This window comes from Homo sapiens, chromosome 12 (assembly GCF_000001405.40).
Source record: "Homo sapiens chromosome 12, GRCh38.p14 Primary Assembly".
Lineage (NCBI taxonomy): Eukaryota > Metazoa > Chordata > Mammalia > Primates > Hominidae > Homo > Homo sapiens.
The window spans coordinates 18222749-18249348 of NC_000012.12; the positions used below are offsets into that span (position 1 = coordinate 18222749).

General features: G+C 34.5%; 1 protein-coding gene across 11 annotated transcripts in view; it reads left to right on the plus strand.

Annotated features, from left to right (window-relative positions):
• PIK3C2G (phosphatidylinositol-4-phosphate 3-kinase catalytic subunit type 2 gamma) overlaps window positions 20213-26600 on the plus strand; it is a 483857-nt gene continuing 477469 nt past the window's right edge. For all 11 annotated transcript variants that reach the window (XR_931307.3, XM_047429007.1, XM_017019471.2 and 8 more), the window contains exon 1: window positions 20213-20300. The gene's annotated coding sequence lies outside the window, so the exon portion shown is untranslated. The remainder of the gene's footprint in view (window positions 20301-26600) is intronic.

Here is a 26600-nt window from a genome sequence, read left to right on the forward strand (position 1 = left end):
CACCTATTGCATGCTAAGATTTCTGTTTTTTATTTGATGTCACTATATAAAATTATGCTTTTGAATCTATCTACTTGCTTATTATCAGTTCTTTCCTATTAGTGTGTATGCTTCCAGAGGGAATGGACTTTGTCTTATTAACTGCTGTCTTACTGACATCTAGAGCAGCACCTAGTATGGTACCTGCTTGTACTATTTCTACATAGTACCTATTTATACTAGTTTACTCTTTCTTTAATGAATAAACACACATGACACACATACTAACATATATTATCTCATTCAAGCATGTTAACAACCATGTGAACTAGCTGTTTGAAAAGTAAAAATGTTGATTTTTATACTCATAGTTAATGAATGATAAAAAATGTAACTGTGACTTCTAATTCTATGGCCTTCTCACTATAAATAGAAAACATTTTTATTTGTAATAGAAAAAGCATTTTTATTTATACTGCTAGCATAGAGCCCTCAACAATTTTCTTAGCATAATTAAAATTACTGTGTGTTACGCACTTTACTGGGAATTTTGCACACATTCGTTTATACATATGTGGGAAAAGTAAGCTTGAACCATTAGAAATGTTTAGTATTCCACTACTTTAAACTTGCATACATAGCAATTTCACATGGTTCCATATAATATTAACTCCATTTTACAGGGGAGTTATTGAATGTTAGAGAAATTAAATAAATTATACAAGGTCCAATATCAGTGAGCAATAAACTTAAGATCGAAACCAGCACTTAATTGCAAATACCATGTTCTTTCATTTGTTTCTCAAATATGATTTTGGCTGTGAAACCCTAGGGGTGCTACAGTCAGCGCTAAACATGGCATAGTAATTTGGATATTCTCTTTCTTTTAAAATGATCATGGATTTATATAAAGTAACATGTGAAATGATATGACTACATGTCTATTTAAGACAACAGAAGGCTTCAGAGACATTTCACACTGTATGTGATCACTCTATCAGGAATGCTCTATCAGGAAACTGTAAGAAGCAGAGTACACTCACTCCTGGAGCTTCCTTCCCTACCATCATTTTAGAGCAAATGCCCATGATGAGTTAGCCATTAAGCAACACAATTGTATAACCTACTGGGAACAAGGAAAAAAAAGTTATTTTCTTTGGGAAAAGAAAAAACTACCTGTTATAAATGTCAATATGCAGTGATGTGCTTCATATAGGGCAGCCAATGTGAAAGTAAACATTAAAATGTTTTCTAATCGTTGAGAAATGGATATAGATGGATGTGGTATATACTTAGGTAATATGTACTATTTTGGGAGATTAAGAAAGATATTTTCTCTGTTTTTAATTGCATTCTATGTGCATTTTTTTCTTTCCCTCTCAAATTGTTTTTAAATGCTAAAAAATGTATTTGCTGCATTTCTATTATGTTACACATCATTAAAATGAAAGAGTACTTCTGGAGAACTCTACTAAGAGTTCTAAGATTACTAAATCTAAGAGGTAGTTTTTCATATCTGGTTGTTATTTAGGAATTTATGAAATCTCCAAATACCTTTTGATTTTTCATTTAAACAGTATATGAAAAAGATTCAGAGATACAAAGTATACAGAAGATACCGAAGAAGACACTGCTACAGAGAAATAGTGCACTGACGCAGGTGTTATTTGTATATGTAATTATCTCAATCGCTTTTCAATGAAAAGCGTTTCTTTTCAATTAGAATTCTGAATGACATTGACTCTTTGACCTCTGGGGTTTTTGTGTTGTTTTGGGTTTTGTTTGTTGTCTTAAATTCTCATTTAATAAGCAAAAGATTATGCTGAAGAAAATTAATTTAGATGTAATTATATGTTTAACTGATTCCTCTACTGCTACTCAAATTTCTATTTGCCTCTTTTTTAAGCAGTAAGAAAATGTCTATGCAGAAGTAACTATTCATGCTAGCACTTCATTGGAGTTGTATTAAGAAGTAATAAGGAGGGCAGCAATAGTGTTTGTTTTTAAGTGGATTATAATGCTATATAATGTGAGTGAGGATAACTTCTATAATTCTTAATAGGGATAGGCTGATGAGTTTATTTTTTCTCTTAAGAAGAAAAAAAAATTAAAGTCATGATTAGACTAAGATTTGAAAGGAGATAAACAGTACTAAGACCCAGTGCCTTTCACTACCTTGCCATCTGGAGCTAATTGTATTAGTTATGGTAATAGTGCCCTCCAGAGGAATTTTGCAGGAATTTGAAAGGCTAAGAAGAAACAGGGAACTAGAAGGCTCTGGATGTGATGAATTTAAATATTAGCTTTAAAAGTAAATTAACATTTTAATCTTATGTAGATATTAATATATCCTTTTCTTTAAATGTGATGCTAAAAGCTGACACTATATCCATGACTATAAATATCAACAAACATACACTTTTTAATATTTTAGGCCACCTGTGAATATTTACATATTATATTCTTAATATAATCTGCAATATCTTATCCATTTAAAAGGATATTTAGCTCGAGAAAACAGTAAAGGACTGAGATTCAAGAATTCAAAACCATGATCTTCTTAATTTTCCTTCTTGGTATTCATTTGGCAAGTTCTTCAGAGTTTAGTGTAAGTAAATTGTAATTTTATATTAGTATCCCAGAAATAAGGTAAAATTGTAAATTGCCATCATCAATTATTAGAAGTAAATTGAAATGGGAAAACCCAAAGCACTAATTATGGATGGCAAGGCAAAATTATTATAGCACCACAAAGCATCAACACGTTAAAAATAGATAATTAGTACAGAAAAAGGAAAATATGAGGCCTCCTTATCGTTGTCATTTTAAATATTTAAACTTTTTTAATTTTAGAGAATGCATAATGACTGTTTCACATGATAATTTATTATTATTATCATCAAAATTGCTTTTGCTATTTTATCATTCTAGGCACTGAGGCAAATTCCGGGAAAAGGGAATTCATATTTAATGATTTGATGGCTTTTTACCACACATGCCAGCATGATTTTCTGCATTTGAAGTCTTGGAGGATAAAGCAGATTAGCAGAAAGCATTTGCCCTCAAGAATTTACTAAAACAACTGTAAAGAGCTGAAATTTTTATCTTCAAATATGATACGAAAGGTTTTCTTAAAGAAGAACCATGTTGGCATGGAAAAATATTTCATTCAGCTGCTTGGTGTAGAGGTGATGGCAAACATGAAAACTGATCATATTTAAGAAGCTCTACATGAAAAAAGGGAGAATTTTTCTATTTCTTGCTCCTTAGAAAGGGAAGGGAGGCTGGGCGCGGTGGCTCACGCCTGTAATCCCAGCACTTTGGGAGGCCGAGGCGTGTGGATTGCTTGAGCTTGGGAGTTCAAAACCAGCCTGGGCAGCATGGTGAAACCCCGTCTCTACTAAAAATACAAAGAAATTAGCCGAGCGTAGTGCCGCGCGCCTGTATTCCCAGCTACTCGGGAGACTGAGGCAGGAGAATCGCTTGAACCTGGGAAGCGGAGGTTGCAGTGGGCCGAGATGGCGCCACTGAACTCCAGCCTGGGGGACAGAGCGAGACTCTGTCTCAAAAAAGGGAAGGGAAAAAAGATATTGGAAACAAAAGGAACAGAAAAGTGGATTATCACTGGTACTACATCAGATGCGGGAGCAGCAGAAATTATCAATGCTGAGGAAGTGCCAAAGAGCCCCCAGAGGTTGCAGCAATGTGAATCCTTCTCCTTCTGATACGAAAATATTATTAAGTAAAGAAATTATTTCTTTAATATTTCAGCGTGCAGATAATATGTAATTTATATAGCAGACACCAGTGGGCACGCTACCTAAGAATAACAAACATTACCATATTTGCCATATTTATTTGGTATGTCTCTTTTATGTAAAAAAATATATTTTATATGTCTCTTTTATGTAAAAAAATAAAGAAATAAAGATATAGTTAGGCTGGCACTTTAGGAGGTCTAGGTGGGAGAACTACTTGAGCCCAGGAGTTCAAGACCAGCCTGGGCAACAAAGCAAGACCCCATCTCTACAAAACACTTGTAAAACTTAGCCGGATGTGGTGGTGCACACATGTAGTCCCAGCAACTCAGGAGGCTGAATGAGGAGGATCACTTAAGCCCGGAAAATTGAGGCTGCAATGAGCTATGATTGTGCCACCACACTCGTTTGGGTGGCAGAACAAGACCCTATTTCTATTATTATTATTATTATTATTATTATTTTTTTTTTTTTTTTTTAGACGGACTCTTGCTCTGTCACCCAGGCTGGAGTGCAGTGGCGCAATCTCGGCTCACTGCAAGCTCCACCTCTCGGGTTCAAGCCATTCTCCTGCCTCAGTCTCCCTAGTAGCTGGGACTACAGGCGCCCGCCACCAAGCCCGGCCAATTTTTTATATTTTTAGTAGAGATAGGGTTTCACCGTGTTAGGCAGGATGGTCTCGATCTCCTGACCTCGTGATCCGCCCGCCACGGCCTCCCAAAGTGCTAGGATTACAGGCGTGAGCCACCGCGCCCGGCCTCGCAAGACCCTATTTCTAAATAAATAATTAAATAAAGTTAAAGCATATTCTCATATTCTTCCCTCATCCTGCTTCCCAAGTGGAAAGTGTTATTCTGAACTCAGTGTGTATATCCCTGTAAATATTTTTTACACCTTGAATATGATTATATCCGTATGTACATATGTGTATGTATATGTAACTCAAATTATTGTGCTTAATGATCAGAATTCATATACTTGTTATACTATGAAGATATTTTACTTTTCACTCAATATTATTTTCTTATTTTTGTACTTTCATATGTAAAGGTCTAGTTCATTAATTTGCAGTTGCTCTTTAGTGCCCAATCTTATGAGTAAGCCGTGATATATTTATCCCTGATATTGGTATACTGTTAGCCATTTATTGCTTTTTAATGTTACAAACAAATTTCAATGAATCCCTCAGTATAACCTCAAACAACTTTGAGAAAGTTGCCAAGGTAGTTATCTAAAACATAATTATTTTACTTTTAGATAACTACCTTGGCAACTTTCTTTTCCATATTAATTATCACATCATCAAAGTATAATGACAACTATTCTTTCCAATTATTATCACTTACTTTTTCTCTTGTCATGTTTTATTGGCTAGTACCTTCAGTACAATGTTGAATAGACATAGTGTTAGTAATTCTCCTCTTTAATTCATTATGACTGTAATTGTTTTAAATATCTTTGACCAAGAATCATATTTGTTAGGTATTTCTGTTTATATTGTATTGATATTTCTTTCTTTCTAGTTATGTTGGATAATTTTTATTAGGATGGGAATGTTCTCATCCATTCCAAGTTTACTAAGACTTTTTATCTTGAATTAGTGTAAAATTTTAACTTATAAATATTTACGTATACTGAGATAGTCATACGCTTTTTTTCTTCGAGTGTTAAAATGTAAATAAATCTTAATATGTTTCCAATGGTAAAACATTCTTAGGTTAAAATCAACCTGCTTATGAGACACTACCTGTTTTCTCTTTAAAATACTATATTTAGGATTTTTGTTTTTATGTTCAAAAATAAACTTAAACTATAATTTTCCTTTGTCTTTGTTTGTTTGTTTGCTTTGGCAAACCAAGTTATAATAACCTCACAAAATAGTTGGTCAGTTTCCACCATTTTCCACTCTGCATAAGTTTATACGCAATAAAGTATTTGTTCCTTCAATGTTTTGTATAGCTCATAAATGAATTTTTTTAAAAAACTTCTACTCTATGTTGGAAGCCTTTGATCATGATTTTGTTGATTAAATATTCTATATCCTAATATTTGTTTTCTTTAGCAGTTTTTAAAGGATTGGGTTAAAAACTTCAAAATTTCAAAATATTATTGAATATTTTTAAGTGTCTCATTTTAATTACTTTAACTTTTATTCAGTAAATTTTAAGGTTATATTACCAGGTTCATTCAGATTTAGGATAGATATTCCCCTTCTGTCGAAAATTTGCTGTATCTCTAGAATATCCCTATTTGCTAATAATGTTCTTTTTGCTTCCAGTTTATTTTTCTGTCATGTTAATATTAATATCTCAATTTTCTTTTGATAAGTATCACCTGACATACATTTTTATATAAATTCTAAAACATCTGTTTTAGATATGTTCAATATTTAATATTGTTTACATAGCATATAGTATATTTCATTACTGTTTATTTTGTCTCCCATTCTGGAAATTGAGTTTCCTGGGGAAAGAAATTTTTATTTGATTCATTGTTTTACTAAAAGTATCTAGAACAATGCTTGGCATATACTAGGTTCTCAAAAGATACCATGAATAAATTTTTCATAATGTATTTCACAAATTGCATTTAACCAGACACCTTTATATTTTAATTCAAACTCAGGGTCATTTTCTTTTAATTTGGAAGATATTTTATTTGTTATTTATTATAATTACCAAAAATGTGGATTTATTTCTACATGTTATTTGTGCAATATTTGCCATAATTTTTAACACACTTTGTTATCCATTCTTTGTCTTTCTTCTCCCATTTTACCTGATTTTTCTTTATTTCCTTTCTTCTTTTTTTATTAATATGTAATAATTTACATATTTATGGGGTACATGTGAACATTTGTTACTTGCAAAGAATATATAATGACCAAGTCGGGGCATAGGTATATCCATCACCTTGGGTGTTTATCAGTTTTATGTATTGGTATTTTTTCAAGGCCTCCCTTCTAGTTACTTTGAAATATGCATAATATTATTGCTAAGGATAGTCACTCTAGTCTGCTATCAAACATTTGAACTCATTTCTTCTATCTAACCATATGTTTGTAACCATAGCCAACCCCACTTCATCCCGCACACACCCCCCAAACTTGACACTTCTGTAATCTATTGTTCTATTCTCTATCTCCATGAGATCAAGTTCTTTAGCTCCCACGTCAGTGAGAATATGCAGTATATGTCTTTCTGTGCCTGGTTTATTTCTTTTAACATAATGACCTCCACTTCCATACATACTGCTTCAAGTGACATGATTTATTTTTTCTGGCTCTGTAGTATTCCATGGTGTATATCTATCACATTTTCTTTATGGATTCACTGTGGAATCCATGAAGTGATGGAATCAACATACTCATTGATGGACACTTAGAATGACGTCCAAATATTTGCTATCATGAATAGTGATGCAATAAACATGCAAGTGTAGGTATCTCTTTGATATACTTATTTCTTTTCCTTTAGATAGATACCTGGTAGTGGAATTCTTGGGTCATATGGTAGTTCTATTTTAAGTTTTTTGAGAAATTGTCAACTGTTCTCCACAGTGGTTATACTGATTTACATTCCCACCATCAATATATAAGGGTTCCCTTTTTTCTACACCCTTGCCACTATCTGTTGCTTTTGTCTTTTTAATAGTAACCATTCTAACTGAGATGATACCTCGTTGTGGTTTTGATTCACACTATTTTGATGTTAGTGATGTTAAGAATTTTTTTATATACCTGTTGGCCATTGTATGTCTCCTTCTGAGAAACACCTATTCATGTGCTTTGCCACCTTGTTAATGTGATTATTTGTGTTTTTACTGTCGAGATGTTTGAGTTCCTTATATATTCTGGATATTAGTCCCCTGGTGGATGAGTAATTTGAAATTATTTTCTCTCATTTTGTAGGTTGTCTCCCCACTCTGTTGACTGTTCATTTGTTGTCAGAAAATGTTTCATTTGAGATAGTCTCATTTGTCTATTTTTGTTATTATTGCCTGTACTTTTGAGGTATTAGCCGACCTTATTGGTTGTCTAGACCAATCTCCTAAAGCAATTCACCTATGTTTTATCCTAGTAGTTTTATAGTTTCTGGTCTTACGTTTAAGTTTTTTACTCCATCTTGAGTTGACTTTTTATATAATGAGAGATAGGGGTCAATTTTTATTCTTCTCTGTATATGATTATCCAGTTTTTCCAACACCATTTATTGAAGAGACTGACCTTTCCCCAATGTATCTTCTCAGTGGCTTTGTGTAGATAAATTGTTGCTAAATACATGGAATTATTTCTGGTTTCTCTATTCTGTTCCACTGGTCTATATGTCTGTTTTTACACCAAGACCATGCTGTTTCCCATTACTACAGCTTTATAGCATATTTTGAAGTCAGGTAGCATGATGTCACAACCTTTCTTCTTTTTGCTCAGGATTGCTTTGGCTATTCAGGATCATTTTTAGTTTCATACAAATTTTAAGATAGTCTTTCTGTTTCAGTGAACAGTGACATTGGAATTTTGATAGAAATTGCATTGAATCTGCAAATCGCTTTGAGCAGTATAGTCATTTTAACAGTATTAATTCTGATCCATGAACATGAGGTGAATTTCCATTTGTTTGCGTCCTCTTCAATTTCTTTTATCAGTGTTTTGTAGTTTTCCTTGTACAGATCTTATACCACCGTGGTTAAATTTATTCCTAGGTTTTCTTTTTTCTTTTTTGTAGCTATTGTAAATGGGATTGGCTTCTTGATTTCTTCTGCTGCTAGTTTGTCACTGGTGTATAGAAATGCTACTAATTTTTATATGTTGATTTTGTATCCTGAAACTTTACTGAATCTGTTTATCAGTTCTAACAATTTTCAAGTGAGAATTTCTGTTTTTTTCTAGATATAAGATTATATCATCTGTAAAGAGGGACTGCTTGACTTCCAATTTGGATGCCTTTTCTTTTCTTGCCTAATTGCTCTGGCTTGGACTGATAGTATTATGTTGAATAAGAGCAGTGAGAGCAGGTACTCTTGCCTTGTTCCAATTCTTAGAGAAAAGACTTTCAACTTTCCCTCATTCAGTATGATGTTGCCTGTAGGTTTGTCATCTATGGCCATTATTATTTTAAAGTATGGTTCTTTTATGCCTAGTTTGTTGAGAATTTTTGCTACGACGAGGTATTGAATTTTGTCAGATGCCTTTTTGCGTGTCCATTGAGATAATCATATGCTAATATTATGTGTTACATTGATTTATTTTTGTGTGTTGAATGAACCTTTTATCCCTGGGATAAATCTCACTTGATTATGATGTATTATCTTTTGATGTATTATCTTTTGATGTACTGTTGGAATGGTTCTCTAGTATTTTCTTGAGAACGTTTACATCTACGTTTATCGGAAATATTGGCCTATATTTTTCTTTTTTTGCTGTGTTCCTGCCTGGTTTTGTTATCAGGGTAATGCTGGCCTCATGAAATGGGTTGTTTTATAAACTGAATCTGTTTATCAGTTATAAGAATTTTCAAGTGAAAATTTCTGGTTTTTCTAGATATAAGATTTTATTACCTGTAAACAGGGACTATTTGACTTCCAATTTGGATGCCTTTTCTTTTCTTGCCTAAATGCTCTGGCTTGGACTTACAGTACCATGTTGAATAAGAGTGGTCAGAGTGGATACTCTTGTCTTGTTCCATTTCTTAGAGAAAAGGCTTTCAACTTTCCCTCATTCAGTATGAGTATGAGGGTAATGCTGGCCTCATGGAATGAGTTATGGAGAGTTTCTTCCTCTTAAATTTTTTGAAGTAATTAGAGGTAGGTTGGTTTTAGTTCTTCTTTATACATTTGGTGGAATTCCACAGTGAATCCATTCAGTACTTGGCTTTTCTTTCTTGGGAGTCTTTTTATTACTGATTCAATATAGCCACTTATTATGGGTCTGTTCAGGTGTTCTACTTCTTCCTGATTCAATCTTGTTAAGTTGTACGTGTTCAGAAAATTATTCATTTCCTCTATGCTATCTAGTTTGTTAGCATATAGTTCCTCATATAGCTTATGATGATCTTTTGTATTTCTGTGGTATCAATTATAATGTCTCCTTTTACATTTCTGGTTTTGTTTATTTGGGTCTTCCCTTTTCTTGGTTAATCTAGTTAGTAGTTTATCAATTTTATTTGTTTTTTCAAAGAGACAACTTATTATTTTATTAATCTTTGTATTTTTTAAAGTTTTAATTTTATTTATTTCTGCTTATTTATTATTTCTTTCCTTCTGCTAATTTGGGGTTTGGTTTGTTCTTGCTTTTCTAGTTCCTTGAGGTGCCTTGTTAGATTCTTTATTTAAAATCTTTTTTTAATGTAGGTATTTATTGCTATAGACTTCCCTCTTAGCCTGCTTTTGCTGGGTCCCACAAGTTATGGTATGTTGTTTTTTCCAGTTTCATTTGCTTCAAAAAAAATGTTCTCATTGGTCACTTAGGAACATGTCATTTAATTTCTACATATTTGTAAAGTTTCCAAAGTACTTCTTGGGACGAATTTCTAGTTTTATTCCATTGTAGTCTGAGAAATTACTTGATATAATTTTGATTTTTTAAAACTATGTTGAGACTTCTTTGTGGCTAAAAAGATGGTCAATCCTGGAGAATGTCGCATGTGTGGATGAGAAGAATGTGTATTTTGCAGCTGTTAGATAAAATGTTCTGTAAATTTCTGTTAGGTCTATTTGGTAAAAGTCCAGTTTAAGTCTAAATGATTCTTTGCTGATTTTCTATCTCTGTCTAATGCTAATAGTGGGTTACAAAGTTCCCCATTTCTATTGTATTGTAGTCTCTTTCTTTACATCTACTGTTTACTTTATGATATGGTTTTGCTGTGTCCCCACCCAAATTTCATCTTGAATTGTAGTTCTCATAATCCCCATGTGTCATGAGAGGGACCTGGTGGGAGATAATAGAATCATGGGGGTGGTTTCTTCCATCCTGTTCTTGTGATAGTGAGTTAGTTCTCACAAAAATCTGACAGTTTTATAAGGTGCTTTTCCCCCTTTTGCTCAGCACTTCTCCTTACTGCCGCCATATGAAGAAGGATGTGTTTCTTCCCCATCTGCCGTGATTGTAAGCTTCCTGAGTTCTCCCCAGCCATGCTGAACTGTGAGTCAACCTCTTACCTTTATAAATCACCCAGTCTTGAGTGTGTCTTTATTAGAAGTATGAGAATGGACTAATATACTTTATGAGTCTGGATGCTCCAGTATTGGGTGCATATATATTTAGAATTGTTATATTATCTTCCTGGATTGATGTCTTTATCATTATATAATGATATCCTTTGTCTTTTTAGTGATTTTTGCTTTAAAGTCTGTTTTAGCTGATACAAGTTTTATCGCTTTCGGTTTCTGTGTGCATGGGTTATCTTTTTCTACCCCTTAAATTTTGTCTATATGTATCTACAGGTAAAGTACATTCAGGTAGGTAGCATTTAGTTGTTTCAGGTTTTTTAATCCATTCAGCCAGTGTATATCTCTTAAGTTAATAATTTTATTTATTTATGTTGGGGGTTATTATTGATATGTGAGGTTTTATTTCTGTGATGTTATTAATTGTTTTCTGGTTGCTTTGTATATTATCTATTCATTTCTTTTTGTCTTATTGATTGTCCTTATGGTTTGTTGATTTTCTATGGTGGTACCATTTAAGCCTTTTCTCTTCCTCATTTATGTGTTTGCTTTACCAGTAGTTTCATATTTTCATGTGTTTTCATGATGGTAATGGTTGTTCTTTCACTTCCAGATTTAGAACTCCCTTGTAATTCATATCTAGTGGTGGTAAATTTCCTTATCATTTGTTTATTTGGGAAACACTTTATTTCCCCTCATTTATGAAGGATAATTTTGCTGGAAACAAAATCCTTGGGTGGCAATTAGCAGGGTTTTCTTCTTCTTCTTATACTTTGAATATATCCTCCCATTCTCTTCTGTCCTATAAGGTTTCTGCTAAGAAGCCTACCGTTAGTCTAATGAGATCTTCTTTATAGATAACTAGATGCTTTTCTTTTGCTGCTTTTAGAATTTTCTCTTTGTTGTTAACTTTAGATAATTTGACTATAATGTGCCATGGAGAAGACTTTCCACACTGTATCTGATTTGGGATGACTGGACCTCCTGTATCTGGATGTCTAAATTTTTTGCTAGACTTGAGAAGTTTTCTTCTATTTTTTAAAAAAGGTTTTCAAACTCGTTTATTCTGTTATCACCTTTGGAAATAGCAATAATTTGTATATTTGGTCACGTTATGGTATCCCATATATCAGAAAGACTGTTCATTCTTCTTATTTTTTCTTTATTTTTGCCTTACTGGGCTATTTCTTTTTCTTTCTTTCTTTTTAATTATACTTTAAGTTCTGGGATACATGTGCAGAAGGTGCAGGTTTGTTACATAGGTAAACATGTGCCATGGTGGTTTGCGGCACCCATCAACCCGTTATCTACATTAGGTATTTCTCCTAAGGCTATCCCTCCCCTTGCCCCCAAACTCCTAACAGGCCCAGGTGTGTGATGTTCCCCTCCCTGTGTCCATGTGTTCTCATTGTTCAACTCCCACTTATGAGTGAGAACATGAGGTGTTTGGTTTTCTGTTCTGGTGTTAGTTTGCTGAGAATGATGGTTTACAGCTTCATCCATGTCCCTGCAAAGAACATGAACTCATTCTTTTTTATGGCTGCATAGTATTCCAGAGTGTATATGTGCTACATTTTCTTTATCTAGTCTATCATTGATGGGCATTTAGGTTGGTTCCAAGTCTTTGCTATTGTAAATAGTGCTGAAATAAACATATGTGTACATGTGTCTTTATAGTAGAATAATTTATAATCTATAATTTGGTTATATACCCAGTAATGGGATTCCTGGGTCAAATGGTATTTCTGTTTCTAGATCCTTGAGGTATCACCACACTGTCTTCCACAATGGTTGAACTAATTTACACTCCCACCAACAGTGTAAAAGCATTCCTATTGCTTCACATTCCCTCCAGCATCTGTTGTTTCCTGACTTTTTAATAATCGCCATTCTAACTGGCGTGAGATGGTATCTCATCATGGTTTTGATTTGAATTTTTCTAATGACCAATGATGATAAGGCTGTTTTTCATATGTTTGTTGGCCACATAAATGTATTCATTTGAGAAGTGTCTGTTCATATCCTTCACCCACTTTTTGATGGGGTCGTTTGTTTTTTTCTTGTAAATTTGTTTAAGATTCCTGTAGATTCTGGATATTAGCCCTTTGTCAGATGGATAGATTGCAAAAATTTACTTCCATTCTGTAGGCTGCCTGTTCATTCTGATGATAGTTTCTTTTGCTGTGCAGAAGCTCTTCAGTTTAATTAGATCTCATTTGTCAATTTTAGTTTTTGTTGCAATTGCTTTTTTTTTTTTTTTTTTTGTAATGAAGTCTTTGCCCATGCCGTTGTCCTGAATGGTATTGTCTAGGTTTTCTTCTAGGGTTTCTATGGTTTTACGTCATATGTTTAAGTCTTTAATCCATCTTGAGTTAATTTTTGTATATATAGTGTAAGGAAAGGGTCCAGTTTCAGTTGTCTGCATGTGGCTATCCAGTTTTCTGAACACCATTTATTAAATAGGGAATCCTTTCCCCATTGCTTGTTTTTGTCAGGCTTGTCAAAGATCAGATGGTTGTAGATTTGTGATGTTATTTTGAAGGCCTCTGTTCTGTTCTGTTGGTCTATATATCTGTTTTAGTACCAGTACCATGCTGTTTTGGTTATTGTAGTTTTGTAGTATAGTTTGAAGTCAGGTAGCATTATGGCTCCAGCTTTTTTCTTTTTGCTTAGGATTGTCTTGGCTATATAGGCTCTTTTTTTGTTCCATATGAAATTTAAAGTAGTTTTTTCTAATTCTGTGAAGAAAGTCAATGGTAACTTGATGGGAATAGCATTGAATCTCTAAATTACTTTGGGAAGTATGGCCATTTTCATGATATTGATTGATTCTTCCTATCCATGAGCATGAAATGTTTTTCCTTTTGTTGTGTCCTCTCTTATTTCCTTGAGCAGTAATTTGTAGCTCTCCTTGAAGAAGTCCTTCACATCCCTTGTAAATTGTAGTCCTAGGTATTTTATTCTCTTTGTAGCCATTGTGAATGGGAGTTCACTCATGATTTGACTCTGTGTTTGTCTATTACTGATGTATAGGAATGCTTGTGATTTTTGCACATTGATTTTGTATCCTGAGACTTTGCTGAAGTTGCTTATCAGCTTAAGGAGATTTTGGACTGAGACAATGGGGTTTTCTAAATATACGATCATGTCATCTGCAAGCAGAGACAATATGTCTTCCTCTCTTCCTATTTGAATACCCTTTATTTCTTTCTCTCACCTGATTGCCCTGGCCAGGACTTCCAATACTATGTTAAATAGGAATGGTGAGAGAGGGCATTTTTGTCTTGTGCTGGTTTTCAAAGGGAATGCTTCCGGCTTTTGCACATTCAGTATGATATTGGCTGTGGGTTTGTCATAAATAGCTTTTATTATTTTGAGATACGTTCCATCGATACCTAGTTTATTGAGAGTTTTTAGCATGAAGGGGTGTTGAATTTTATCAAAGGCCTTTTCTGCACCTATTCAGATAATCATATGGTTTTTGTCATTGGTTCTGTTTATGTGATGGATTATGTTGATTGATTTGTGTATGTTGAACCAGCCTTGCTTTCCAGGGATGAAGCTAACTTGATCATGGTGGATAAGCTTTTTGATGTGCTGCTGGATTTGGTTTGCCAGTATTGTATTGAGGGTTTTTGCATCAATGTTCATCAGGGATATTGGCCTGAAATTTTCTTTTTTTGTTTTGTCTCTGCCAGGTTTTGGTATCAAAATGATGCTGGCCTCATAAAATGAGTCCCTCCTTTTCTATTGATGGGAATAGTTTCAGAAGGAATGGTACCAGCTCCTCTTTGTACCACTGGAAGAATTCGGCAGTGAATCCATCTGGTCCTGGTCTTTTATTTGTTGGTAGGCTATTAATTACTGCCTCAATTTCAGAACTTGTTATTGGTCTATTCAGGGATTCAGCTTCTTCTTGGTTTAGTATTGGGAGGGTGTATGTGTCCCGGAATTTATCCATTTCTTTTAGATTTTCTAGTTTATTTGCATAAATGTGCAGTGGTGTAGTTTCTTTATGATTTCTTTAGCTGTAGACAACATCAGTGGGACCTGTGATTTCCTTGGTGGTTTAGGATACGGTTATAAGGGGAAGCTATGGTGAAGTTTTTCTAGAGACAGAGATGCAAGCTGGGCCAGTCTTCAGACTCTGGTGGAGGTAGTGATGGGCTAGAGCATGCCTCATCTTAGGCCTCAAGGCAGCATATGGCTCACACTGGTGTTAGTGGGACCAGCAGGCTGATTCTTGAGCCTCCAGGTGGTTTGCTCTGATGCCAGTGGTGAGCCAGGTTGGCGAGCAGATTATTGGATGTCTAGGTTGCCAGCATGGTGTGATGGCAGTAGCAGTGGTGAGATAACTCTCTGTGTCCTGGGTGATGCATACTGTTACTGGCAATGACTGTGGTGCGGGGTCTCCATCCATAGCCCCAGACACTCTCCCACATTCTGCAGCAGTGCTACAGTGCCACCCAGATGTGGGGAGAGACCTCATGCTTCAAACATAACCCCGGACATGGAGATCATTCCACCTGTGGGGATGCAGTCATCACTCACAGCCCCAGACAGTCAGTCTTTGGTTTGCCTGCCCCAGTGTCTGATGGCAGCAGAAGCAGCTATGTCTGCAGTGGTGTGTGGAGGGATAAAAGAGGTCCTAATTTCCATGCATGAGCCTGAATGCACAAGTCATTCTGTCTGTGAGAGGGGATCTCATTATTTGCTTGCAAGGCTAAGCACAGAATTTTTGCCACTGGTAGGGTGGAGTAACTTCTTACAACCTCAAATAGGGTGCCCTCAAGCTCTGGAAACATACACTTTGGTTTCCTTTGTCCCAGGGTCTGCCTTTTTGTGTGCACTGCACTGTCCTTTCACCTGGGAGTAGTACTCCCTGTGGGCTAGAGTAATGGGAACCACATAGCATCTTAGGGTCCTGCCAATGCTCTGCCGCTGCAGCCTTCTGGGTGGACACTGGGGTGTGTCAGTGGGAGCTCTCAGGATGCAGAGATATAGGGGCTATGGTTCCCAGGGTAGGAAGCAGTCCTGTGATGACTGTGCTCTCACAATGGAGCCATTTTTTTTAAGTTAAATTATGTTTTTGAAAATTTTCTGAGAACTTCTCTGTTCTCTCCTTGGAAAGTCTTATGAGAAAGATTCTATTTTTAGGTCTCTTAACTGTCCCAGATTTTTTATTCTATTTTTTTTTTTTTTAATAATTGTGTGCTGCCACTCTGGGCAATTCCCTTACAACTACCTTCCAGACTACTAATTCTAGCCTTAGCTGAGTCTAATCTGCTATTTAATCCATTCATTGAGTGCTTATATTTTGTTTCAATTATATTTTTAAATATCAAATATAGCTAATTTTGTTCTTTTTTCAATCTGCTTTTTCCAAATATTTGTATTTCTGCCTCATTTCTGTTTTAAAGCATTTTGTTCTATCTTACATTTTGTCCTTTTGTGGTAATTTTTATGCCTTCCTTTACAGTTTTACAGGTTTTATACACAGTAGATTTGTTTTATAGTCTTGACCTAGCTCTATTATGCCAAGTTTTGCTTCTCTTTGTTATAACTGATGATTCATACATGGTACATTTTTCATTGATTTCTGTTATGATCTATTTGTAATTGCAAGTTCCTCTTTAGCAAAATAAAGCTTGTATTTTTTTTCCTATACCAAATATAATACAGCCTGGATTTTAAGAAGGTAGTTCTAGAGTAGTATTACTTATTTCCAAGAGTATCTCTGGATGAGGACAACTTTTTTTTTTTTTTTTTAACCTCTGGGACTGGGTGTTTTTGCAGGACAGAGAGAGGTATAGTTACATATAATATCACCTGAGGCACAGGCTTAAGGTCTTGATTTCTCAAAGGGAGACATTTTTTCCTCACTTAAATTTACATCAGGATAAAATTTTTATTTTATTTTCTGCTGCAGCTGGAGGTCACGGTATGTCCAATATTCCTTTATCTTTTGAGAAGCCCTTTGTAGCTTCAAGATTTATTGTAGCAGTCTGTTTTAACTCACATCCCTAAAGTGAACACAGAATCAGCTTTTGCTCCTAACCCCAGCTTTTGTCCCCTTTCTGTTTGTGCCACAGGGGGTTTTCTTATCTTTCATAAGAACACAGATGATTCATCCATATTATTCAGTGCTTCCACTTGTTTGTAGGGGTAAAAGAAAGGTTTTTGCATCACTTTAAATGGCAATTTTATAGAAAGAGGTTTTGTTTTTAGTTTACTATACTAACAATGCTAGATATAAGTGAATTTTAATGGAAAATGGGGAATGTGCTCAAACACATATGTGGGTGGACATGGTGCAAAATAGAGAAAGCATGGCCAACATCAGGATTTTGAAAGTGGAAATGAACAAGAATATCACCAATATTTACAGACATATTGTAGAATTTTGTATATCCCCATAAGGCATATGATTGAGAGCTCAAGTCAATCTTCATTGCCAAGACTAAGTATAGCTCTCTAAAGTAATTAAAAAATGACTCCAAATGATGGTGCTGAATTACTGTGTTATAATAACCTACAAAAGGGAAAATAATGATTCTTATATTGATCTGTGAATGAGAAAAACAAAAGTGCAGAAGTTTTAGGAATTCTTTTAAATTATAATCCATAGTTAGCAACAGAATACAGTTAACTTGCAAGTGCTAGTACTACTTTGTAAAGCAATATTTCAATATATTTTAAAAATAGTTAAATTGAATTTTCAGTTAAAGATTGAAAAGCATAGCACTCTAATATAATGTAATCCAATTTCTAATCACTATATTGATATAATATGAGTTACCATATAAATGTGACAAACTCACACTGCACTAACTTTCATGCAACTTCATGCATTTTAAAAAATTATCAGTAATACCCACCATCACATTTTAACAAAAAATATGAGATTCATTAATTAAGCTTAGGTAATATTACCACACTGTATTCCTGTGTGGGCTATAGGGTAAATCAATCATTTCATTAGTTCTAATGAGGTGCATGTTTATGCAAACACACACATTAATCTTATAATTTTTGTGGACTTTGTAGATGAGTAAACTGAGATTAAGAGGTTAAAATTTTAAAACACTTACCAAATTACAAAATAATTCTAGCAAAGCCGAGCTACCTAAGTAGGCCTCCTAACTCTAGATAGAAGTTATTTTTACTAGACCAGTAATTCTCAGTGTCCCTATAAATCTAGGGGTCTCAGACATCCTTTGAGAAGGTCCCTGAGGTCAAAACCACTTTCATAAAAATACAAAATGTTATTTGCCTTTTTCAATTTGTTGATATTTGTGCTCATAGTACAAGTGCCATTGTGGGTAAAGCAGCTAGCACCAATCAAGGAAGTGGCTCCAGATTTTTCTAGTAGTTACCGTTTTCCTCAGTGGCGTACAGGAATTTTTTTCTTAAGTCAGTTTCATTAAGAATGAAAGCAGTAAAAATACTTTTTTTTTTTTTTTTGAGACGGAGTCTCACTGTCACCCAGGCTGGAGTGCAGTGGCGCGATCTGGGCTCACTGCAAGCTCCGCCTCCCGGGTTCACGCCATTCTCCTGCCTCAGCCTCCCCAGTAGCTGGGACTACAGGCGCCCGCCACCACGCCCAGCTAATTTTTTGTATTTTTAGTAGAGGTGGGGTTTCACCGTGTTAGCCAGGATGGTCTCGATCTCCTGACCTCGTGATCCGCCCGCCTCGGCCTCCCAAAGTGCTGGGATTACAGGCGTGAGCCACCGCGCCCGGCCAAAAATACTTTTTATATGAAGCAGTATAATCATTATCTTTAATAAAATCTCAACCTTTGAATGCATCTTGTTTTAACACACTGTGTAATTACATGGGACTTATACATAAAGTACTTTTGTTACATATCAAAGGATAATGATTGTGTCTAGAAAAAGCTAAGGTTCATTTATTTTAACTGAAAACTGAACTAACTCCCTTTCTCGGTAATGCTGTCCTCTTGAAGAAATGACTAGCAGATACCATGGCTATTGAGACTTGGGTATGAGGTATTTGGTATTCTCAAAAATGAAAGAAAGTAACTTTGTAACTCAAGGAAAACAATTTACTATAATTATTGCCAATAGCAAAATCAAATCCTTGAAGTAAAAATTTGAATTTTGTGAAGTCTGTACCCACCACTCTGAGCTTTATATGTTCCTAATACTTAAAGATTTAGGTCAGCAGTTACATTAACAAATGCGATTTGCTTTTTGATATTGTATAATAAAATGTGTCAACATTTGGAACATTGCATAACTTAGTAAATCAGTATTTTCCAAATAAAATATGCTTGATGTTACAAAATTACAAAATGCATGAGTTAAACATCCATTGCAAGATGAATTTTAATGTAATAGTTTAGGAAAACTTTATCAGTACAGTTAGAGCTTCCATATTGCAACTATCATTTGAAAAACTATCACCTAATGAATTTTGGTGAAATACCAAATAACAATATCCACAATTATCTAAAAATACTTTCTCTTTTCAACTACGTATCTGAGTGATCCTGGATTCAAAACAGTATGTTGCAGCAGACTGAATTCAGAAGCAGATGTCAGAATCCATTTGTCTATTAAGCCAAACACAAACAAGTTTTGCAAAAATGTGAAAAAACTCTTCTCATTATTATTTTTTTAATAACTATTTGTAAAATTAAATATATGATTTATTTTGCCAAGCAATAGTTTATTATTGTTGTTTTAAAATAAAATGTTAAATACGTATTTTAAATATTTCTGAATTTTAATTCCTAATGTGGCAAATCTTAAGTCTTTTCAGAGGTTTTTATCTTTTAGATTATAAAAGATGCCCAAGGCCACAAAGTTTTGGGAAGGGCTGTATAGACTGAACTCCATGCCTTAAGAGGAAAATGAAGCCAATATATTCTTACAAGAGAAGAGATACACGACAAAGCAACAACATACACCTTTCATTCCAACTCTGCTGAGTCATCGATGGTACTTTTAGATCTTAGGCGGGTAACAGCAAAATAAGGTGAGAATTTCAAATAATCAACTTTCTAAGATAAATTTATAAAAGCCCTTTTATAGCACTGATCCCCTATCTTAGTTCTTGGAAGTTAATGAAAGAGGGAAGTTTAAACAACTAAATTAATACTAGTAACAGTTAAGTTGTATGAATTAAGTGTGTCAATAGTAAGTGTTAACGGAAGAGATTGGAAAAACTGATTTTCCCAGTCACTCAAGGTGCTCAAACCGATCATGGGAACATGTAGTTTTATTTGTGTAGCAACTGATAAGATAAAATCAACAGAGACCAAAACTCCTTTCACAGTGTTATAGTGAATCATTAAACACGAAACGAGCCTCTGACCTTGCCCTGTTGGCATTTCTACTGGCCAGAGAAATACAACTTAAAGAAGAACATATAAGGTAAGTAATGTAAATGTACACTGTACTATGAAATGTATCCTGAAATGAAGTTTTCAACATCAAGATTATTTGATTTATGTAATCAGAAATGCCTGAATAATTATAAAATTATTAATTCATAAAGTTTAAATCCTATAAAGTCTTTCTGTGTGTGTGTGTGTGTGTGTGTGTGTGTGTATTTTAATTTCAATGATAATTTTCCTAGATAACAAATTGTTGACAGAATAGAGTAAAGCAAGAATAATTACTACATTTGCAGGTGTTGGGTAAAAATTTTTTCAGATAAAAAAATTTTAAAAGAATAATTACTACAGTAATTAAATTGTTGGTGATCTTGGTTGAAAACTCTTCTGTTAGAGATGGCACCATCCCAGAAAGGTTAAATCATATGTTAAAGGTCAGTATGTGACTTCTACCTGGCCCAAAGTACAATTCAAATTCAAAGAAAACAAGGGGGTAAATTAAAATTAAAAACACAGATAATTAAAAACATTTTAATCACAATTATCAAGTGCAGTTGAAAAATTATAATTAGTGAGAGTAGACACTAAGCCCTGAAGAAACAAGTGGTGAGAAACTAAAGTGCTTGTTATGGAGCCATCAATTTAGATTTCTTTTTGTCTATTAGTTTATGAAACTGGCTTTCATTTTTAATGCGTACTCCCATTTCCTATAATTCCTCCATTTTCAAATAGAATTTCAAATTCAGAAACTCTAAATGTGACACCCAGCTTCACACTGGATTTGCTACTTTAATAATGTAAATTAGGTTTCTAGAAAATACAACAGAAAAAAAACAGAAGACTTTTTAAAATATGTAAAAGGCACTTATAAACTCTAATTTATTGAACATCCTGAGGATGTTTATGTGCTAGGTATTATAACAGACAAAAGAATACCAAGAAAATTAAGACTGAGTCCCTGCCTTCCAGAGCTTATATTCAGTAAGAGAAGAAGGGAGAATTAAGCACAAGGTACAGTGTGGTAATAACTATGAGAACAGAGGGTATATTACATGAGTATAGCATAAAATAGTGATTAAAAATACATTAGTTGTCAAAATGATCTTGGTAAATTCAAAATGCCAAATCAAGCAAAATAATTTTATTCACTAAAGAAAATGTCTAGAAGAAAAATATATTTTACCCCAAATTCTATAATCTGTAACAGGATAGAAATCTAACTGCCAGTCAGTAAAGGTAATAAAATAACCATCAGCTAATAGCAGAGCCTAAAATAAAAATAAAAGAATACTAAGATAATTCCAGTATAGTGAGCTCTATTCAAACCATTAGTAGAAAATAAATTATAGAATCTAATATGTTAGATTGTTTAATAAAGTGGAATACTGGGGGTTCTTGATAAATTGCTTAAAAGGTATAATAAAACAGAAAATTTAGTAAACAAGAACTTTTTCCGTACTTTTGGTAGAATTCTGAGCTTATCTCATACCTGCTTTCTGGGTCTCAAAACTACATTTATCCAGGAGATCCACAAATCCAATCATTTTCTCTGCATTTTACGCTATCTCTAAAAGTGATTTACAAGTAAATTAAAGTGTTAATCAAATCAGGAAAATACTACAATTTCCAGCCATTATTTAATCAGGTATGTCTTAGGCACTGCCGCGATGCTATCAAGCTGCTTCCAAATGTGAAGAGTAACTAAAGGGAAGATCCAGTCTTGTCCTGGGGACACTTATAATATTTTTCTAACAATGAACATTAATCTCAGAAGTAATTCAGAAGCAATGTATGGCAATATGGAGTTAGCATAGATTATACATAATATTGGTGGCATCTTAAAAAGAAGAAGGCACAATTTTTGAAAACAAGCTTATTATAAAATATTATTTGTGAAGTCAAAGATCGAGGTTATATTTTCAGCTTTATAATTCTTTTGGGTGGCTCCAAGCAAGTTCTCTGTTCCCTCTTAGTCTCAATGTTTCAACTGTAAAGATGTATTTTTATTCACCCAATCTGTTTCACAGAATTTTTGTGAAGATCAAATGATAAAGCATGTGAACTGAAAAATACTTTAAGAGATTACGTGGGCATCTGTATCTTAGAAGCCTCAATTGAGGAATTATTGTGAGTCAGAAAAAATAGGAAAACTCGTAATAAAAAATAAACAAGGCATAGTCTATTTTATATAATTCATGTTTGGGAGCATCTCTTACTCAGAAACAACGTTCGATCCTTCATGTTTTAGAACCTCTCATTTCCAGTGAATTCCAATTTTAACTCAGTCAGCGCTGCATTTTACACATTTTGATGTCAGTGTGATATAATTAAACACTGGGAAAAAACCTACTCCGTAGTGAAAGATTTACTTACATCTCAATATTTTATCATAAAATTGTTAGATTTCCTTTGAATATTTTTACAGCATTCTGTTACTTCATTTAAAAAATCTGTATTAAAAATTACCCAAGAGTGATTTGGGAGGGAAAAAAATCTACTGTATCCTCACAAGCAGAAATAATGTCTTCCATTTTTCAATGTTCCCATCTAAATTTTTTTAAATTACACATTTTATTAATTATCATTATAATGTACAATTGGATGCACTGCATATGTAACTTACAATTTTTAAGGTTGCTAGTCGTTATACATTCAAATTTAGTGATAACAGAATTTTCCCTTTATCTAATACAGCATTATTTGCTTAACCATCTCTTTGTGGTTTGGTAATAAGATTGCTCAAAAATTTTCACTGTTACAAATCACTCTCATGCTAAAATATTTATTGTAAGTTTTTCCATTTCATTACCATATTTTTTTATTTATAAATTCGCAACTTGAGTTTCTAGAATTAGAGCACTTAAATATTTTATGGACTACCTAGAGCAATGTTACCATTGCCACTAGTCGAATATTGCACAATTTTTTGCAAAACCTCATTAGTATTGGCTTTCATGATTTTAAAATTTTTGGTAGCTTATCAAGAATAAAATATATTGCCCTTTAAAAGAAGTTAAGGTTTTAGCTGAGAAATAAATTTTAATTGCAAAGCTTTAGAAGTATCTTTATCTCAATTTGAGCCCTCCATAAGATTCATTGAGCTTCTCAGAACAGTACCATGATCATCTTTTGCAAAATCAAACCACAATGGGCAAAACTGAAGGCCAGAGAAAATCCTTAAAAGGACAGTTGGGTGCTTCCAAAACATGATAGCTGGCTGGCCTCTAGGTGGCTTCCCAATGAAGCATAGCTGGTTAAATATACCAAATTTCGGGATCAAAACTTAACTACATTGCAGACTTAGAAAGCTGATATTTTCAGCCCATCACAAGTGAATCCATTTCTCATAAGAAAACACACAGTACTTCTGGCTGTGAATCTGATGTATTATACTGAGTCCAATTTATATATTATAGATTATAATATTGGTGGTGTTTTAAAAGGTAGAAAGCACAATTTTCAAAAACAAGCTTATTATAAAATATTATTTTGCAGTCAAAGATCTGGGTTAGATTCCCGGATTTATAATTCTTTCTTGGTGGCTCCAAGCAAGTTCCATTTTCCCCTCTGACTCTCAATTTTTCAGCTGTAAAGAAGATGTATTTTCATTCACCCAATCTGTTCACAGAATTTTTGTGAGGATGAAATGATAAAGCATGTGAACTGAAAAGTACTTTAAGAGATTATGGGGGCATCTGTGTTTTAGAAGCCTCAAATGGGGAAGTATTGTAATTTACCATCAGCAATACGGCAGTCATTCAGACTGGAATTGTCTTGTGGACAGGTCTAGGACAACCTCTCCTCACCAGTAGACTTAGCTGGAGACTCATACTATAACCAAATGTTTGCTTGGCATATTCTGGTGTATAAGAAGACGAATACTATCATTTAAATATTTAATGGCAAGAGGCTATTATAACGAGAATAATTTATGTTTACATTTGAGATAGTCTTATAATTTCCCAAACTATATCTCAATGGTCTCATGAAGGAAAATCATATGTTATATAAAACATAATATGTACTCAAATTCTATAAATTTTTCTCACTGCAAGACTTCTCCCAGATTTTAATATGCCAGTGTTCATTACTGATGTCTAAGAGGAAAGTCTCCTAAGTCCCATTTCCTAAATAGAATTTTTGGAGAAATAGGCAGAACATCTATTAATATCTCTCAGAAATAGAGAACCAGGTTTGGATTATGGAATTATAATACTTAAAAGACTCCAGTTTTTTCTCCCAAGATAGATGTGTGGACATCTCTACTTTGACACACCCAACATCTATAGGAAGAGAAAAACAGGACAATTAGAGTCACTGATGAAACAGCTACGTTATCTGGGGTATGTGCCCTGGTGTTTGTTGTCGCGTGCCAGAGACATTTAGGACACAGACACACACCAAGAGTTTAGGAGTGGAGGTTTAATCTGCAGAAGAGAAAAGAAAGAGAAAGAGAAACAGCTGTCTCTATAGAGAGAGGTGTTTCCTAGCGAAGTGACCCACTGGTGGCCAATGCATAGGATTTTATGGTCTGAGGTTTGAGGAGGTGGTGTCTGATTTACATAGGGCTCACAGATTTGTTCCATCAGGTATGACGTTTACATAGGGCAGGCAAGGGGAAGGCTGGTCACTCCACCCTAATCTTACAATGCAAATGGACTTTCCAGTTGATCAGCACCATCTTGTCTGCTTCTTATTGTACATATGCCTGACAAAAGGAAGGGAAGATGGAGCCGCCATCTTGAACATGTCTAGTCCTTAGTTCCTGCCACATTCACACGTGCAAGCTCCCAGCTTGCTTCTCTGTGTCTGCCCCTCAACTTTACAGGCTGCTCTTTGTTAGAAAATGATTTGGGACTGCTTTTCATTAAAAAGGAAAGCCTTACCGAGGACTCCCATACCCTTACTATCTGCCTAAGTAATTTATTCTTAACTCCTGTACCAGTGAGAATCAAATTATTGAGAATTGTTGAGAAGCAGAAACTAACTACCTGGATTGTAAACCAAGGAAATGGTACCTGAAAACTGCCAACGGTACCTGAGAATGGAGCTGACACAGAGAAAAGCACAGGTGAGACAGGGAGAAAGAAAAACCAATTTCTGGTGATGGTATTAAATTCTGAGCTCAAGCAGTGTCTCAAGTCAACTGTACCCTTGAATTTTAAATTTCTATAAACCTAGAAATTTGTAAATTCTCTCCCTCTCTTCTCCTTAAACCAATTTGCAACTAAAATATGTTTTACCTATTAACATGGGTAGTATTTGGATAGAATTCTTCCGGGCGGGCGCGGTGGCTCACGCCTGTAATCCCAGCACTTTGGGAGGCCGAGGCGGGCAGATCACGAGGTCAGGAGATCGAGACCATCCTAGCTAACACGGTGAAACCCCGTCTCTACTAAAAAAAATACAAAAAATTAGCCGGCGAGGTGGCGGGCGCTGTAGTCCCAGCTACTCGGGAGGCTGAGGCAGGAGAATGGTGTGAACCCGGGGCGGAGCCTGCAGTGAGCCGAGATCGCGCCACTGCACTCCAGCCTGGGTGACAGAGCGAGACTCCATCTCAAACAAAACAACAACAACAACAACAACAACAACAACAATTCTTCAACTTCGTGGCTGATTTTTATACGTTTCTATTACTAACCAATGCTCCTTAAGATCATCATATTTCTTATGTATGTAAAGTCATTTATATATGAACAACACTTTTGGGTATGCCATGCTCTTGTCTTATATGTCTTTGGGGCGATTTATTTTCTCTCTGAGTGTTTTTAAATGTATTACTCAACATAAATGTGTTTTATTGGCAACACATAAAACACATAAATGTGTTTTATTTGTAGGTTGTTTTACCCTCTGTACTACTTCCAGGCATGATAATGAATTAAATGAAAAGTTTCCAAACATCTCCATTTATGCATATTTCTCTGACCCTGTAAGGTGCTTTTTTTTGTTATTAGGACTCTAGCGCATATTCTCTTTATCCTAAACACATAAAACAGTATCTGGCACCTAATAGGCTTGAAAGTTGTTGGATTTCTTCTTAGACAATATCATCAATCTGTTATTTTTCTCTTCCTATGGCATTTGCTCTTTTTGGACTGTACGCTGTGCTAGAATATCTGTTATACTTCATTCCCTGCCACCACCCTTACTCAAGAAAAGATGTTTCTAAGGTGACTGATATTTTAAGAAATAAAGTTAATAGAACTGTTAGTGACTAGGATAGCATTATGTTTTTGACCTTTCAAAGGTATTTACTGTTGAATAAAAATGATTACTTTCAGAGGAATGAATATCTAATGGTGGAATTTAATTGAAGATAGTTTGATACTATAAA